This window comes from Homo sapiens, chromosome 11 (assembly GCF_000001405.40).
Source record: "Homo sapiens chromosome 11, GRCh38.p14 Primary Assembly".
Lineage (NCBI taxonomy): Eukaryota > Metazoa > Chordata > Mammalia > Primates > Hominidae > Homo > Homo sapiens.
In genome coordinates this window covers 86,749,892-86,768,113 of record NC_000011.10, presented here as the reverse complement: position 1 = coordinate 86,768,113, position 18,222 = coordinate 86,749,892, and the positions used below count along the sequence as shown (strand labels likewise).

General features: G+C 41.0%; 1 long non-coding RNA gene across 1 annotated transcript, besides 1 other annotated feature; it reads right to left on the bottom strand.

Annotated features, from left to right (window-relative positions):
• Window positions 741-910: an enhancer, noted in NCBI's record as "experimental_21766 CRE fragment used in MPRA reporter constructs". NCBI's record gives its function as "activates a minimal promoter by MPRAs in K562 erythroleukemia cells, with activity observed for both the introgressed and non-introgressed 11:86478331 variant alleles {active_cell/tissue: K562}" and the evidence as "EXISTENCE:reporter gene assay evidence [ECO:0000049][PMID:34662402]".
• Window positions 2,648-10,043, bottom strand: LOC102724775 (uncharacterized). Its single transcript, XR_950387.4, has 2 exons — window positions 3,101-10,043; window positions 2,648-2,880 (listed from the first exon to the last, which is right to left on the bottom strand). It is a non-coding gene; the product is annotated as an uncharacterized LOC102724775 (long non-coding RNA).
• Window positions 10,044-18,222: the final 8,179 nt, after the last annotated feature.

Sequence of the window (18,222 nt, the reverse complement as noted above, 5' to 3'; positions counted from 1 at the left end):
GTCCATAAGCCACAATCAGACATGGCTCCAGAAGATAAGGCAGCCCCACAGCCACTCTCTTTTTTGTTTGTTTGGCTTTTATTGTTGCTGTTATTGTTTTCACAATACTACCAATTGCTAAGCTCTGTGTGGGTCTCTGGGATGACAAATAGATGTCATTCAGACAGACTTTCAAACAAGAATCATCTACGTGCATCTCATTAGCATCAGTGTTATAAGAAGGAAAAAAGCATACTCTCTCCTCTGTTAGAGGGGAGGAGGCCACATGATTCCAGATGAACCCAGTGGATATCTCCCAAGTCCAAAGTCAAAACCAGGCTGCAGCCTCACTCTCTCTACAGTGCGAGGGAACCACACTATTCTAGGTAAAGTCTGAGTGAGAATGTGGCTTCTAGTATGGGAGGTCGTTAGGAGGAGACAGAAATTAATAATTACTTATTCATTCATTTATTCACTCATTTATTTATTTGATTATTCAGTTTTCAACACTTACTGATTATCTACTATGTGCCAGGAACTGAGGCCACAGAGATAAATCTAATACCTTTGGAGGCTAAGGACATTGTAAAAGTTCTATAGGGTCTACAGCCATACCATCCTGAACATGCCCCATCTCATCTGTAGTAGTTCTAAAGGCTGCTGCCATTTATTGAATACCTGCTATGTTCCAGACATATACTAGGAAGTCAACATTTTCAGTGTTCCTTACATCTAGACCTTTGTACATGTGGTTTCCTCTCCTCATTCTTGATCAAATACTACTGCTTCAGAATTAAACTGAGACGCTATTTTTTTAAAAAAATATTTCTTTGCCTACCCCCTCACCGAAGTCCAAGTTAGGCATCCCTCTAAAGTGTCTGCCCAGCACACCATATGCCCCCAGTGGCACTTATCACAGTATATAAATAAATTGTCTGTTTATTTATCTAGATCTCCCTCCAGATTGGAAGATCCATGAGAATGAAGATCTCATTTGCCTGATTCACCACTGTATTCCACCATGCTGCCTGGCACATAGAAGTCACTCAATAAATACATTCAGAATAAATCCATGTTAATCCTCATGAATGAAGGAAGTTTGTTGTCAAATAATTTGTCCAAACATACAGAATATGATATAGGTAGAGATGGAAACTGCACAAATTCATAGCATTAATTCTAGCTAGGTACTATTGTTGGCTAAAGATTCTGAGCTTGTGGTTGGCTGTCTTTTAATATTGGGACCCTAGGAGGAGAAAGAGAGGAGTTAAAGATGTATTGACCCCAAACTGAGACTTTCCCCCAAAAGAATCAGAAAAATTAAAAGAGAATTGAAGAGAGAATAACTTTTTTAAAGTTATTGGTATCAGTATTATTTAATGTTATGTCTTTATGCCACTTAAAATCATCTCACATACTACTAGTTGTATGCCTCCCATGCTGTTTTAAGACAGTAGATTTTACTCCATGCTCTGGGAGTCCTGGGGTTCTTCTGGGGTGGGAGTGAGTAGGTCAAGATGTGGGTGTAGCTAAGCAGGTGGGGCTCTGAGGCTGCACCCCTAAGTTACAGTAGCTCTGCTCTTATCTGGTTCTATGAAATATTTCATTGCTGATAATGAAAAATCTGGGAAGCCCCTGGCCTACTAATTAAGAGCGACCACTGGGACCAGATACTTTATATGCTTTCACCTTCTCTCTACAAAGTACCATTATTGATGGATGAAGCAGTTGACACTGAGAGATTAAGGAACTGGTCCAAAGTTGTCAAGCCAGTAAGTGGCAGAATTGCCGTTCCAACTCTGTCTGTCTGTTCCTTTTCTGTTTTAACATCAATCTTTGGAATCGTTTTAATTCAACAAACATTCATTGAGATTCTACTACTTTTTAAGCACTCAGTGGGTTCTGGGGTTGGAAACTCACAAAATCTTTTAGGAGAGCCAAGCATGTCAATAAATATTTATGCAAAATGATCTGGAATGCTATGCTCGGAAGAGACAGAGAAGAGTAATTTGTTTTCCTTGGTGGGGTTAGAGTGTCGTCATTTAGGTTTCTTGCAAATGGTAATGCTGTAGCATGCAGTGGCAAGGCAGTGTATGGGAGAAATGACAATGGAGAGGTGGCAGGCCAGATTTGAAAGGGCTTTATGTATCATCCATACAAAGACTCAGAGCCCTATTGCAGGAGGTAGCATCATTTAAATGATTTATACTTTTTTTCCCCTTTTACTCTCCAATACTTAGTTGTTTTGAAAATTCCAGTCTTAGCTATTGAATCTGTGAAAGGGAACTGTTGCCATTTTTAGAGGAAAATGGAAAAAATGTTTGAAGGAAGAAAGTTTGGAGGAGCAGCACCTCTCCTGCCAAGGAGTATGGACTTAGACAATGGGTAGCCAGTGAAGGATTGAAATGACAATTTATCATGTTGTAGTTCTGGTCAGCTAGAGCCTGCTGGACCCACAAGTTGCAGCCAAACACAAGCCTCACATCTCCGTTTCACAGCCTGGGGAAACCATTCCCCCACCCCTGACATCTGTTTCCTGAGGACTTAAAGTCTCGTGGCCCATTTGCCTCCACACTTTGTTTCCCTCCAGTGCCGCCTTTGTGTTGCACCAAGAATGACCCAACCTGACATGAAAGTCAATGCCTAAGAGAATTCACTCGCACAAATGTACAAAAGAGCATTGTAGACTTTATTAAAGATTCTGTAGAGGAGTTAGAGGAAGAATTTATAACAGTCATGCCAAAGTCCATTTTGAGATATTCCTGCTGTCTTCAAATTCCTTCTTTATGTAGCACCCACCCCCTAGTCATCTTTCCTCATTTCCTGAATCATCTGTTGGAACTTCAAATTCTTCTCTTTATTACTGAAAAACGCATCCATTGCCCAGGCCCAGCAACAGACCTGGACAGAGGGTAAGGGATTAAGATAAACTTCAAGTTCCAGGGATTCATAAAAACATTTTCACCCTACCTCTCACAGCCTTCAGGCCAAATATAATGCTCTTCATAAACATTATATTTCAATTTACAATTTCCCCATCTGGTTTTAAAAGAATTAAGGCAATGATAGACTCTGACCTGAAAGGATAAAGTCATATCAATGTTTATAGTGAAAAATCTACCTTGAAGACTGAAATCTTCCTTGCCAATCCCTGCAGAAGAAATGTGCCTCCGGACCAACCTTAGGTAGGAAGAAGAGATGACTGATTTTTGGTTTTGTCCATGGAAAGAGTCAAGTTCCTGGGGGCGGGGGTGGCAACAGGATGGGAGTTTTGAAGTGAGGGCTTAAGCAAAGGCTCTGGAGGTGATCTGGCCCTTTGGATAGCTAGCTTACAGCCACTCATGGATCCCACATGAAATGAGAAGGGGTGAAATCCCTGGGGAATAATTCAGTTCAGGTGGAATAAGACTCCCATGCTTGAAAGTTCAGGTGGATCAGAGCCATGTGCTTGAAAGTTGCATCATTTAAATGATTTGTACTCCCCCTCCATTTTACTTCCCCTTAATATGTAATTGTTTCTTGAAAATTCCAATCTTATCTCAGCTGAGGAATCTGTGGAGGTGACTTGTTGCCATTTTAGGAGGAAATGGAAAGATGTTTGAAGACAGATAGATGCTGAGGAACAGCACTTCTCCTGTCAGGCATAGTGGGGGAATGCTGCAGAGTAGAAACACTGAGCAATTGAGAAAATCCAAAGAGGAAAATGATACATGGAACCCAGAGGAACAGAAAAAAGTGTTTCTAGGTCTAATTCACATTCTTTACCTGGAGATTCTCCTTCCAGGCCAAATTTTGGAAGGTCTGAGTTTTATTTTACTGGGAGAAGGTAACAGTAAATTTTTTTTATCAAGACAACCATTTCTTCATAGTTGCTATAAACTGAGACAGGCTATATCCTTATCCGGACCTTTAATAATGTTAGTGAGGTACCTGGAACTTGTGTGCCCAGTGCCCATTCCCACCCTCTGCCATGTACCACCTCCCTCAAAGTCTGCCTGAGTGTGAGGATGCAATAGGGATACTGAGATGCATCCTCCAGCTCAAAGGTTTAAAAATAGTTTTTCTGGCATTGGAGGCTTTTTGCAGATAAAATTTTACCCAAAAGCCCAAAATATAAAACAGATAGACTGCTGTGGTTGACTTGGGACTGGGGATCAGGAGCCTATCCATCCCGTTTGGCCTCCCCATTGCTTACGTGGAGACACTGAGGTTTCTCTTGTGACCTCTAGAGACTGAAGGAGCTCAGTTTGAAGACCAGCACTCTAGAAAGCCATCTTCAAAACCCTCCCTCATGGAGTTTGGAGAGAGTTATGGGTACACTTTTTGAAATATCCTTTGGTGGAAAGACCAGAGGCCGCTGGGAAAGGAGATTAGGGGTCTGAATTGTGGGGACTTTGGTATAGATTCTGTGTCTAAGTGACCTGAAGGGTTTTGGAAGAGGACTTTGTATCTCACTGGTCTGTAAAGCGATCTCGTGAGGTCCCTTGTTGTGTCCCCATGTCCTTGGATGAGGCTGAGTGGAATGGCTGTCTCCATCAGGTCACTATGGAGAAAGAAGAATCCATTAGGTATCTTTCTGGCCTTCTTTTGGTTCTTTCTCCCTTGTCAGGCTTTCTGTAGACATTTTCTAAGTTGGAGGAGGCTGAGTTACCTTCTCCTACGATCTAAACCTCTTTTGAATACCCCAGTCATCTGGTATGTCTTTTCCTTCAAGTGGGACTTGGTGTGGACTGTTGGAGAAGAGGGAGAGGAAGGGATGGAAGTGTCCTTCGTGCCTCTGTGGGTCCTGATCCCATGTGCCTTGCTCTGGCTTTAGATAAGATACATGACATCCATGGGAGTCTGATGTGATGAGGACAGCCCACTGGAGTTTTCTTAGTCCCAGGAGTAGTCCTTGGCACTTAGTCCAGGAACACATCCTGAAGAGCTTGTGCAGAGCTCAGAACTCCACTGTCAGGAATGTTGGTTTTAACTTTGACCAATAGCCAGCTGTGTCCCTGTGTCCCTCCTCCTCACCTGCCCCCACTCCCTCACACAGAAAAAAAAAAAAGGGGGGGGGCTGGGAATTTCCTTCCAGATGATCCCTTGAGATGCTAGGGAAGTACCCAAAAGTATTTCATGAAAGAAGAAGGAAACGGATAGGTTGGAAGATATAGTGAGAAACAGGAAGGCTTCACTCTGAAGCAGTGTGGTCTCATACACAAGAAATAAGTCACAAGTAACAAAACTTTTCCCGAATTCTTGCTTATTTTCATATTGCATGAGAAAGATTGCACTAATACAGCCCTGTATCACTTTTCTGCTTCCCAGTTAGAAAAATTGATGTGACATCTCAAATTGTCATAAACGTGAAGGTCAAGGTCAGGTCACCTGACCTCTCCCCAGAGTCAGAACTGCACTAGCTGTGGCCACCAGGACTCTACCAACACAGGCTCACATTAGGTCACTAGAGCCTCAAGCCCAGGCAATTCTGTTCTCACTCTGCACACTGATTGCTGTATCTCTTACATCCCCCAGCCTTGATCACTGTAGTGTAAAGATTTGGGGTTGTATTGTGTTTTGCTTTTGCATCCAATTGAAGGGTAGCGACTTAACATGTATAATGGGTTCAAATAATCTACAAATATCTTTCTTTTCTATAACTGTATGTAATTTCTGTTTTGAGCTATCATCCTATCTGGTGGTAAGTCAAAACAGAGCTAAAACAGAGCATGTCCATTTGGTCATGTCTGCTTTTCCCAAGAGGTGCTTCTAAGTGTTAAGTGAGAGTCGATAGTGCATTTGATCTATGAGTTTATGTCCCTGAGCTGGAATCTGTTGAGATGTCCAGTGGTTCTTTGGGCCCTCAATTGCCTGCCCACTCAGGTTTCTAAATTATTCTCCATTCATATCTGAAATCTCCTTTAGAGCCTGTGGGTTTCATTCCTACATCTGTGCCAGTTTTGATCTCTCAGGAATGATTCAGCAAGTTCAGTGGTGCACTGAGTTACAGGCAGGAAACTGGGAGGCTCTCTAAAGGCATACTTGCCTACACATAACAGGCCATCCTTTCTTCTCATACGTCTCCCTAGCTTCCTGGGCACAAGGAACATCATTCCTTCTCATGCATGGTCTGCAGTGATGGTGAGTCCTTCCAGATTTATATCAAGTTGTCCAGCTTCGGTTTGCAGGCCTTTGTCAAATCCTAGGAAAAATGGCCAACTGCATGGCAACCTAAGGTCCCAATAGGGACATAGAGGGGTTTTGGTCCTCAGGAATGCCATTGGGGCAGCGGGCGATAAACCAAAAAAGTTAATTTGGAAAGTTGTAGCCACATATCGAAGGAATCTGGAAGAAGTGAAAATTTGGGCAAGGTAACAGGATTCAGTCCAACTTGCAAGTAGGTACCAACCCGGGTTTTCCACAGGGAGGTAGGAAGTCAGTTAATCTCTACCAGAAAAGACAAAGTTCGCATATCCATCACCTACAATTTACAGAGAGGTGTAAAAATAGCTCAAAGACCATGAAAATCTCATAAATAAACTGATCAAACCTTAGCCAGCTTTGGCCATGATAAATAAAATCTCCTTTTCACAACCCTTCCACAGCATTCTATACTTATTACATGTCCTTTATAGCATAATTTTCAAAGTGGCAAGAAATAAGCACATTTGTTAACAATCCAAACATATATAGCTTCTCTTCAGTGTATAAAAATAAGAGGCAAACGTATATAAAGTTAAATTATACTTAGTAACATTCTTTCAGTATTCTTTTTATAAATGATCTATGTATCTATTAAACATCCATTCATTAATTTAGTGTTAGTCCAAGGTTTTAAGTTACCTAAACATCTTGGAAATTATCTTCTAGCTAAACACTAAAAATCATAATTACAGTTGACATAAAGTTTGTCAGAATAATGATTTGATGTGGTTAAATACAAATTTATATTTTTCATAAATCTTAAATATTTAGTAGGAGTAATGCTAGCTTATTTTATCAGTAAACCTAGATAAATTTAGGAAAACCTTACTCAAGTAGAATACAAATGTATACTTATACTTAATTCTAACTCAGAGAAAACAAAGCTGTTTTTATTAAACTAAAATTATTCAACTAGTTTTGTTTGCCTAAGATTTACCTACATCATATAAACATAACTAAAAAAAAGTTTTTGAGTTAGTTTCTATAAGAATACCTATTTTTTCACATTGAAAATATTCAAGGCTCATTTTCCTTTGTTTCAGAGCATGTTAGGAATGTTTTATTTATATATGAGCTTACTCATCTTAAATTCAATCAGAGTACAATCAGCTCCTTTAAGGAATTTTATAATTTAATTTGGGTAATACTGCCAGAGGTAGGAAAATACTACATACTCGCATAATGAGAGGTTTTTGAGGCATCTCTGAATTACAGACATATAAACATGCAGACAGAGAAAGAGACACTTAGAGTTTCATTTCTGATTTTCAGCTTCATTTTCAGCCATGGGTTAAGCTTTGCTCCCTCTATTCTCAATCTTCTTACCATATTGCACTTTGAGGCCCCATCCATTTCTCTAAGCTCATTGTAAATGCATCTCTCCTTTGAAGCTTTGTCTCAGCCCCTAGTAGGGCATAATTGCTTCCATAACTCTTGTACCTCTCTGATCACTTGAATCAATCCATCAGAAATTATAGTTATTTGTGTATATTCCTCATCTTTTCTTCAAATCCAAACTTAGGGCCGGGTGTGGTGGCTCACGACTGTAATCCCAGCACTTTGGGAGGCCAAGGCGGGCAGATGACGAGGTCAGGAGATCAAGACCATCCTAGCTAACACGGTGAAACCCCGTCTCTACTAAAAATACAAAAAATTAGCCAGGTGTGGTGGTGGGCGCCTGTAGTCCCAGCTACTCAGGAGGCTGAGGCAGGAGAATGGCAAGAACCCAGGAGGCGGAGCTTGCAGTGAGCTGAGATTGCGCCACTGCACTCCAGCCTTGGCGACAGAGCGAGACTTGGTCTCAAAAAAAAAAAAAATCGAACTTAGTTATGGCAGAGACTATGTTATCTTTTCTTTAACAGACATTTATTCTGTACTTACTGTGTTCCAGGCATTGTACTAGAACTTTCTAAAGAGTGAGGGACAAAAAGCAGGACCCCTATCTTCATGGAGCAAACAGTTTGGAACTCGATATACATTTTTCATTTCCCACAGGATTGGCAGTGGTTTGTTGAATGAATGAATTAATTAATTAATGAAAATCCTCAGGCTTAGATTCACCATGATACTGAAAGCGAAGTAACATTTCCTTGAGGGCTTACTATTTACATGCATTCTTGGACACTTTGTGCAAATTATGTAATTTAATCCTCCTCATATTCATACTCTGTGCTTTATATACTTACTTCTAATCTTGACAGCAACCCTGCAAAGGAAAAAAAAGACTATCCCATTTTACAGAGGAAACAACTGAGAGGCTCAGTGAGGATATCCGCTTGCCCTAAGTCATGATGCTATAGGTGTCAACATAGGGATTTGAACCCATGTCTTCCTGACTCCAAAGCCTTGAGACACACTGCTGAGTATGGTTTAATTGCCTTGGAGAAAGCTTAGGTCATATATTCCAGAGAACATATGGTCAAGTCACAGGTCAAGTCACAGGTAAGTCTTGACCTAGGGAGTCTGTGCACCTCAGGCACTTAACAGCAGATTGGACCACAGCAGCGACCTCAGCAACTGAGGGCTGAGGTCCCCTCTAGCCCTCAGTTCCATAAGCCCAGATAGGAGAAAAGACCAGGAAGTGGTGGCATGCTGTATGTAGGTGGGGTTGGGTTCCCAGGTGTGGAGGGCTGCTCTCACCTGGAACCATGCTCAACTAGGCATTCAGGAGCCAGGGCCTACCAAGGCACAACAGGGGCCATTCATGCCAGAAGCACACTCCTCCCACTGAGGCTGTAAGTCACATTCCTTGTTTTAAGATCGGTGCCCAAAACTGGGCCTTTCACTGAAGAGATGCTGTGTATGTGAATGAGCAAAATGATAATCAGTTCAACTGAACTTTAACCCACGGAGTCTACAACAGAAGGTTAAGGGACTCCATGTTCAAACCCTTAAGTGGTCACAGTTAGGGTAACTGATGCTGATGTGGAGAAGGAGGGAGACAAAAGTTGTTGCCCTTAGTTGAGGGATGAAGTGGCTCCCTCACCTCCTGCAGAAAAGCAGGATCAGTACGAAGAGCAGAGAGCTTTTAGGACACATTCACTCTGTGCCAGGGCTTTGATGACTGATCACCCTTAATTATCATAGCCACCCTATGAGGAGGTCACTATTAATATCCTCCTCAATTTACCCATGAGGAGACAGGCAAAGAGTGATTTAAGCCCCTTGCCCAGCATGATAAGGCTAGTAAATGTGACTGGCAAGATTTGAAACTAGACTATTTGAATTCAAAGACTGTACTCTTAACCACTATATCATATGCCATTTCCAGGCAAAAATAATATGGAGAATTATAATAAGGGCCACCCATGAATCATGCTTCCCTTTGTCCACATCCTTTTGCAACATGACATTGCTGCCTCTCTCATCAAGATGTGGTCTACTGGTCCACCCTCTTGAAATTGGGATGATCCTGTGACTTACATTGACTAACAGAATATTGTAGTAGAGACATTGCAGGAGTTCTGGAAATGAGACCTCAAAAGGTTTTGCAAGCTTCAACTCTCACCCTCCTGAGATGCTGAGTCCACCATGTTATAAAGAAGTCCAGTGTATCCTCCTGGCATATGAGAAGTCATGTGGAGCAGAGCCAAGGCTTTCCAGCCAATAGCTAGCACCAATTACCAATTGAGCAAGACGCTCTTGGGTGTCCCAACTTCAGTTGAGCTCCCTCTGCCTGCATCTGCACTTGAGAGCCCAGGGAAGATCTGCAGAAGAATCTCCAGTCAATCTACATAATTGAAAAAATAAACCATTTTTGTTTTAAGCCACTAAGTTTTGGGATGATTTGTCATGTAGCAATAGATAATTGAAATATACAGGTTTTAAATTTCTTTCCTTTTTCTTTCTTTTTTTTTGAAATGGAGTCGCCCTGTGGCCCAGGCTGGAGTGCAATGGTGCGATCTTGGCTCACTGCAACCACCGCCTCCCAGGTTCAAGCTATTCTCCTGCCTCAGCCTCCAGACTAGCTGGGACTACAGGCATGTGCCACAACAGCCAGCTAATTTTGTATTTTTAGTAGAGACAGGGTTTCACTATGTTGGCCAAGCTGGTCTCGAACTCCTGACCTCAGGTGATCCACCCACCTCGGCCTCCTAAAGTGTTGTGATTACAGGCATGAGCCACATGCCTGGCGGTTTTAAATTTCTTATCTGAGACTAACCACTTGCTTTTTAACAATCTAGAGTTTCTGAGGGCTCTGTTCTGTTCCATTGATCTATATCTCTGTTTTGGTACCAGTACCATGCTGTTTTGGTTACTGTAGCCTTGTAGTATAGTTTGAAGTCAGGTAGTGTGATGCCTCCAGCTTTGTTCTTTTGGCTTAGGATTGACTTGGCGACGTGGGCTCTTTTTTGGTTCCATATGAACTTTAAAGTAGTTTTTTCCAATTCTGTGAAGAAAGTCATTGGTAGCTTTATGGGGATGGCATTGAATCTGTAAATTACCTTGGGCAGTATGGCCATTTTCACGATATTGATTCTTCCTACCCATGAGCATGGAATGTTCTTCCATTTGTTTGTATCCTCTTTTATTTCCTTGAGCAGTGGTTTGTAGTTCTCCTTGAAGAGGTCCTTCACATCCCTTGTAAGTTGGATTCCTAGGTATTTTATTCTCTTTGAAGCAATTGTGAATGGGAGTTCACTCATGATTTGGCTCTCTGTTTGTCTGTTGTTGGTGTATAAGATTGCTTGTGATTTTTGTACATTGATTTTGTATCCTGAGACTTTGCTGAAGTTGCTTATCAGCTTAAGGAGATTTTGGGCTGAGACAATGGGGTTTTCTAGATATACAATCATGTCAATGGATCAATGGAACAGAACAGAGCCCTCAGAAATAACGCCGCATATCTACAACTATCTGATCTTTGACAAACCTGACAAAAACAAGCAATGGGGAAAGGATTCCCTATTTAATAAATGGTGCTGGGAAAACTGGCTAGCCATATGTAGAAAGCTGAAACTGGATCCCTTCCTTACACCTTATACAAAAATTAATTCAAGATGGATTAAAGACTTAAACGTTAGATCTAAAACCATAAAAACCCTAGAAGAAAACCTAGGCATTACCATTCAGGACACAGGGATGGGCAAGGACTTCATGTCCAAAACACCAAAAGCAATGGCAACAAAAGACAAAATTGACAAATGGGATCTAATTAAACTAAAGAGCTTCTGCACAGCAAAAGAAACTACCATCAGAGTGAACAGGCAACCTACAACATGGGAGAAAATTTTCGCAACCTACTCATCTGACAAAGGGCTAATATCCAGAATCTACAATGAACTCAAACAAATTTACAAGAAAAAAACAAACAACCCCATCAAAAAGTGGGTGAAGGACATGAACAGACACTTCTCAAAAGAAGACATTTATGCAGCCAAAAAACACATGAAAAAATGCTCACCATCACTGGCCATCAGAGAAATGCAAATCAAAACCACAATGAGATACCATCTCACACCAGTTAGAATGGCAATCATTAAAAAGTCAGGGAACAACAGGTGCTGGAGAGGATGTGGAGAAATAGGAACACTTTTACACTGTTGGTGGGACTGTAAACTAGTTCAACCATTGTGGAAGTCAGTGTGGCGATTCCTCAGGGATCTAGAACTAGAAATACCATTTGACCCAGCCATCCCATTACTGAGTATATACCCAAAGGACTATAAATCATGCTGCTATAAAGACACATGCACACGTATGTTTATTGCGGCATTATTCACAATAGCAAAGACTTTGAACCAACCCAAATGTCCAACAATGATAGACTGGATTAAGAAAATGTGGCACATATACACCATGGAATACTATGCAGCCATAAAAAATGATGAGTTCATGTCCTTTGTAGGGACATGGATGAAATTGGAAATCATCATTCTCAGTAAACTATCACAAGAACAAAAAACCAAACACCGCATATTCTCACTCATAGGTGGGAATTGAACAATGAGATCACATGGACACAGGAAGGGGAATATCATACTCTGGGGACTGTGGTGGGGTGGGGGGAGAGGGGAGGGATAGCACTGGGAGATATACATAATGCTAGATGACGAGTTAGTGGGTGCAGCGCACCAGCATGGCACATGTATACATATGTAACTAACCTGCACAATGTGCACATGTACCCTAAAACTTAGAGTATAATAAAAAAAAACCAATCTAGAGTTATATAATGTATAGAATCATAGGAAATATGAGCTGGGGAGACCTTGGGGCAGCATCTAATTTTATTCTTCTATTTTACAGAGGAAGAAACTGAGAGCCAGAGAGGGGAGGCAACTTGTCCCAAATCTTACAGCTTGAGCCACTGCTGGACCTAAGTCTTCAGAGTCCCATGTTTAGAGTTGTCTTTGCTACATGGTCCTGCCTAACTACATATGTAGTGAGAGGAAGAAAAAGTTATTTCCAGCTAATTTCAAAGATAGACTCTAAATGCTGTTTATGTTCTTAAATTCTCATGACATCCATGCAAAGAGATCCACATACCAAGACCCATAAAATGCCAGAAGCAATTACTGGAAACAAAGCAGTGAATTGTCATAATTGAGTGTATATTGTCTTTCACAGGATCTGTGCATTTATAGATGTGCCATTTCCACAGCAGATCAGTTGTTCTCATCTTGGCTGCTCACTGGATCATCTGGGAAGTTTTAAGAAAACACTGAGGTGTGAGCCAGGCACTAGGAGTTGAAAAACCTCCCTAGAGAGAATCTAGTGAGCAACTGGTGTTGAGAACCCCTCCTCTGGATTGTGAGTTCTTGGAAGGCAGAATTTTCATCCTTGAACCCCCTGGAACACCATGCCATAGAGTAATTGTTAATTGAAACTGAGGACACAATGCTGAAAGTTCTTACAGAGAGCAGCTATGTCAGAGTGGAAAAGACATGGCCTTTGACATCAAAAATACCTATTTGCATCTCAATCTTGCCATTTAGTAGCTGTGACTTCACACACGACAGTTGCTCTGAGCCATCTATAAAACGAATATAAAGATGATACCAACTTCCCAGGGACATTATGAGCTCAGCTAAGATTATTTAGCTTTTATAAAGGTCCTTGGTAACAGCAAAGACTTTGTCAAGTATTGTTATTTCCATTCAAAATAGAAATAGAGTAGCTTTTAAAAAGGTATGTTGGGGGGGGAAGTAATGAAAGATGATTGTAATAATTTAGGCAATACAGAGTTATAAAGAAAAATCAAGTAAAATTACCCACAATTCCTCCATAAGTATGTTTCAGCATTCTGTTGTTTCTTCTTTCAGAATTTTCTCTTGTTTATATGTGTGCCTGTACACACACACACATATGCACAAAACACCATATTTAAAAAAAAAAACAAATACAGGATTGTATTGTGTCCATCTTCCCTGTTACTAGCTAGAGTTCTCCATAACCATGAGTTATAATTACTGTGATACTTTTCTAGCCTAATGATTTTGTGAGTAATTGAAGGAAGATACATAGGATAAAATAGAAACAAGAGCAAAGCCAGTGAAAATCTGCAGAAAAATTACACATTTTGGGGGCCTAGCGATGTCTGAAAATTATTGCAAGATTCCATTGAGGCTTACCCATTTCTTCACCTGAGAAGACTAATGTTTCCCACAGGAGCTTGTGAATTGACATGGATAAAATGAAGATCTCAGTCCTGCCCTCCCAGAGAAACTTCCCTCTCTAAAAGGCCTGGGCCACAGCCTGCACATCCTTCTGGTGAGCAACATTTATTTGCACATGATTTCAAAAGTAGCAAGAAAGGGCCAGGTGCGGTGGCTCACACCTATAATCCCAGCACTTTTGGAGGCCGAGGCGGGCAGATCACCTGAGGTCAGGAGTTCGAGACCAGCTTGACCAACATGGAGAAACGCCATCTCTACTAAAAATACAAAATTAGCCAGCTGTGGTGGTGCATGCCTGTAATCCCAGCTACGTGGGAGGCTAAGGCAGGAGAATCACTTGAACCTGGGAAGCGGAGGTTGTGGTGAGCCGAGAACACACCATTGCACTCCAGCCTGGGCAACAAGAGCAAAACTCCATCTCAAAAAAAAAAAAATGTAGCGAGAAAGAGAATGGAAGGACGACCAAAAAGTGCTTATTCAAGTTAACTATTAATTTGGGGAAAGCAATTTTCATATCTAAGCCAACCTAGAGTTGATCCAAAAGTTAACAGTTAAAAGAGCCAGAGCAAACATACAGACCAAATCTCCAAGGCTGATATTGTCTGGCAAGGAATCCAGCTTTAGAAAGGACCTGAAGACATCTGAACCCTTTCCGGATCAAGCCTCCCCTTTTCCTGGACCTAATCCCTAACAGCATCAGAACCTCAACGTGTCTGTTGGCTAGGGGCCTTGCCCATAAGGAGCCTGTGTTTACAGAATCAATGAGGAACAGATGAAGGGTGACTGTAATCTGGAACAAGGAGGCCCTGTTAAGGACGTGCCCAGCATGGGCATGCCAAGTGAGTGTGGCTCCATCAAAACCAGGCCTTTGCAAAAAAGATGGCCTATTTTGCTTGGACACCACTGCTCACAACAGCCTTGGATTCTTCTTTGCACCCTGTCTTTACAGCCTTACAAGAAATATCCAACTCAATTTTTAAAATAATATCCCCTGATATCTTTTTTTTTTTTTTTTTTTTTTGGTGTAGGGGGTGGCATGAGGAGCTTGTTTAGAAAAAAAAAAAAATTAGGCTTGAAGTTGGAGAAACCTGTGTGTGAATCCCAATTAATTCACCTAAATGCTGTGTGACCTTGGAGAAGTCACATACCTTTTATATTTCTTAATTTCCTTTTCTTTAAAGAGGGGATCATGAGCCTTACCTACCTCTCATCATTTGTCAAGTGGAAGATTACCTTGATGCAATGGTAGTCTCCAAGGTCAAGCTGGTACTTCCTATCAAGGGTCACAGAACAGAAAGGCTCAGTAACCAAATTAAAATGCTCAAATCATACACGTTATAACATCAATTTGAAACACACAGTGACAAGCAAGAGGAAAGACATGGGGCATATTAGCACTCTGATATAGGGTGTGATCAGCATAGAAGGACCATACTACCCAAGTCCTGGGGTAAGCAGTTCATATGTCCTCTCTCCCCATCTGCCACATCAGCCTTCCCCACTGATGGTTTGGTTACAGGACAAAAGTTGAGGTTTGAACAAAGGGGCCCACAGACAGAAATTGCCCTGGCCAAGGACCCATGCTTGCACTGTTGGAGAGACACAGGGACAGGTACATCTGAACAACAGCTGTAGCTTGCTTAGCCTGCTGAGCAGCCATGAGTTTCGTTTGTGTTTCTTGGGCAAAGAACATGGAGTGAGAAAGGATGCCCTTAATTTATGGCAGAATTAAGGCCTTGTGAACATTGATTGCTCATGTATATTTACTGCATCCAGAATATTTAGTGCCTCATATATCTCATATATACTTAGGTATCATTTATATATAATATACAAATTTATTACATATAATAAATATATATATTTATATTTAGTACACTGTGCATTTATATGCACATTTATATTTAGTGCACAGTGAATATTCAGTGTCTTATGAATATTAGGTGTCTTTTGGTCCCTCTATCACTTTCTATGTTAAATACGCCCATGCCATTGTTTCTAACATATTTTATGAATTTTATGGATCTAATTTGTATTCTCCTCTTCCACAGCATAATTGCATATTCTCAAACAATACAACAAATACATATTACATCATTCTATTGGAAGGCTGGAGTGAAAAAGCACTTTGTAAATTGTAAAGCTCTATATAATTTTAAGAGATTATTATTTTTGTTAATATAATGAACAAAAACAACTATGGCCATGTACAGAAAATAAAATTTATCTTCAAAGGATAAAGAGGAGGCAGTTTAGCTTAATAACTAAGAGCCATGAACTCTGCCAATAAGTGGCTTTGCTAACTTTGGGAAGTTACATAACTTCCTTAAAACTCCGTTTCCTCATCTGTAAAATGGGGATAATAACAACAGCTACTTTGTGAGCTTATTTTGAAGACTGAATAAGACGATGTGTGTAAAACACTTAGGGAATTGTTTGGCCCATCATAATGTTGCTACCTAGACTTCATTGAGTGCTGACTCTTTCAGAGGCACTTTACGACCTAGGTCCTATTATCATGCTCACTTTACAGATGAGAGGTTTCAGATAGAATCTGAATTCAACCCAGGTAATATGACTATAAGCCTATGCTCTTAACTGTTTTGCAACATTGACACCTACACAGTAAGTTTTCAATGCATGTTACATCATCATTTTAATAAGATTGGCCACTAGAGCAGATATTCAATATCATTATTCATAAATAAATGACATTGGTGTTGATATTTTGAATTAATTCCCTCAACATTGATTCTACCTTCCCCATGATTCTCCTCTTCTCTGCAGTGTGGGCAGGACTTTGACTTGCTTCTAACCAACAGAATATGGAAAGGTGATGGAATTGTGTTATAAGATTATGTGGTATAAGATTATAACATCCATCTTGCTAGGAGATGCTGTCTTCCTTGCTGGCTTTGAGGTACCAAGTAACTATGTGGCAAGAAGTTGAGGGTGACCTCTGGCTAATAACCAGCAAGAAACTGATACCCTTACTCTGACATCTTGCAGGGAACTGAATGCACCAGCAGCAGCCATATGAGCTTGGAGGCAGATCCTGCTCCAATTGAGACTCAGCTGAGACTGCAGCCCCAGTTGACACCTTGATTGCAGCTTCATAAGATCCTGAATCAGGGAATCCATCTCAGCTGTGCCTAGACTCCTAACCCGTAGAAATGGTGAGATAATAAGTATGTATTGTTTTCAGCTGCTAAGCTTGTGGTAAAATTGTCATGCAGCAATAGAACATGAACACACAAGGTTACAGAGACTGAAGAGTACCAGGCAGTTGTGGCGACATGTGTGACGGCAGCAGCAGCAGCAGCCTCCTGACATGGGCTGTAGCCATGGTGGACTGAATGTCCTTGAACTCAAAAGTCCAGCGGTGGCCCTCAACATTCACTCTTCCATACCTTTCGACAATTTTATATTTATCAATTCTCTGCATCAAATCCCTTTCTTCTTGAATTACCCAAAGTGATTTATATTTCCTGTACTGAATCTTAGTTTATATCCTCATCCTGCTTCAAAGCCATGGTTCATCTATCCCAATATTTAATCCTGCTGATTACCCAAAACATTTTAAGCAAAAACAGAGTAGTTTCTTTTCAAAATATCAGGTAGAAAGGAAATGATAGTCATTAAGCAATGCTATTTCTTTGAATAGCCACAACAACCCTTTAAGGAAGGTAATACAAATCCCATTTTATAGAGGAGAAGACTGAAGCTCAGACCTCATTTGGTTCTTTAAAATCACACATCTTGTGAGTAGCACATAGGGGTGTAATTCTAGGTCTAACAGACAACTGACTGCACATTCTTCCCACTACCCCATTCCATTAAGGACATCTGCGTTGCTATATGTCTTTTCACTCATTCATTCCTTAAATTTCTATTGCATTTCTGCCATGATGGATGCAGGCACAGAATGCTGAGTATACAGTGAAGAGGGACATCAAATCCTCAAGTGTACAGTGAAGAGGGATACCAAAGCAGATTTTAGGACAAAGGGGCTCATAGTGGTGGCTGACACAGCTCCAGGAACTCTAGAACAGTGCTGCCAGGCAGGGACACTGGCAGAAATGCTCACATGCCTCAGCGAGACCTCAGGCAGCCTTGAGCAGACACAGAGCTGACCCCAGTGATGCTCTGTTCACACTACCAAGCCACGATGCAGTTCCCAGAGGCCCCTCACTCCTTCTCCAAAGCTGCCAGCTGTCAAGCTCCAGCAGGCCATAGGCTTGTTTTATTTAGTGTTGGCTCTTTGAAATAAATGTGCTTCTCATTAATTAAGTTTTTCAAAAATGAAATTGAAAACCTTTGATTTACTTTAAAGACAGATCTGGCTAACCCATTAAAGCTTACTCAGCTCTGCTATTAGGAAAGAAAAAGAGGTTTGAGAATTCAAATCTCTGGCAGAGCTTAAAGTAGGTAGAATGCC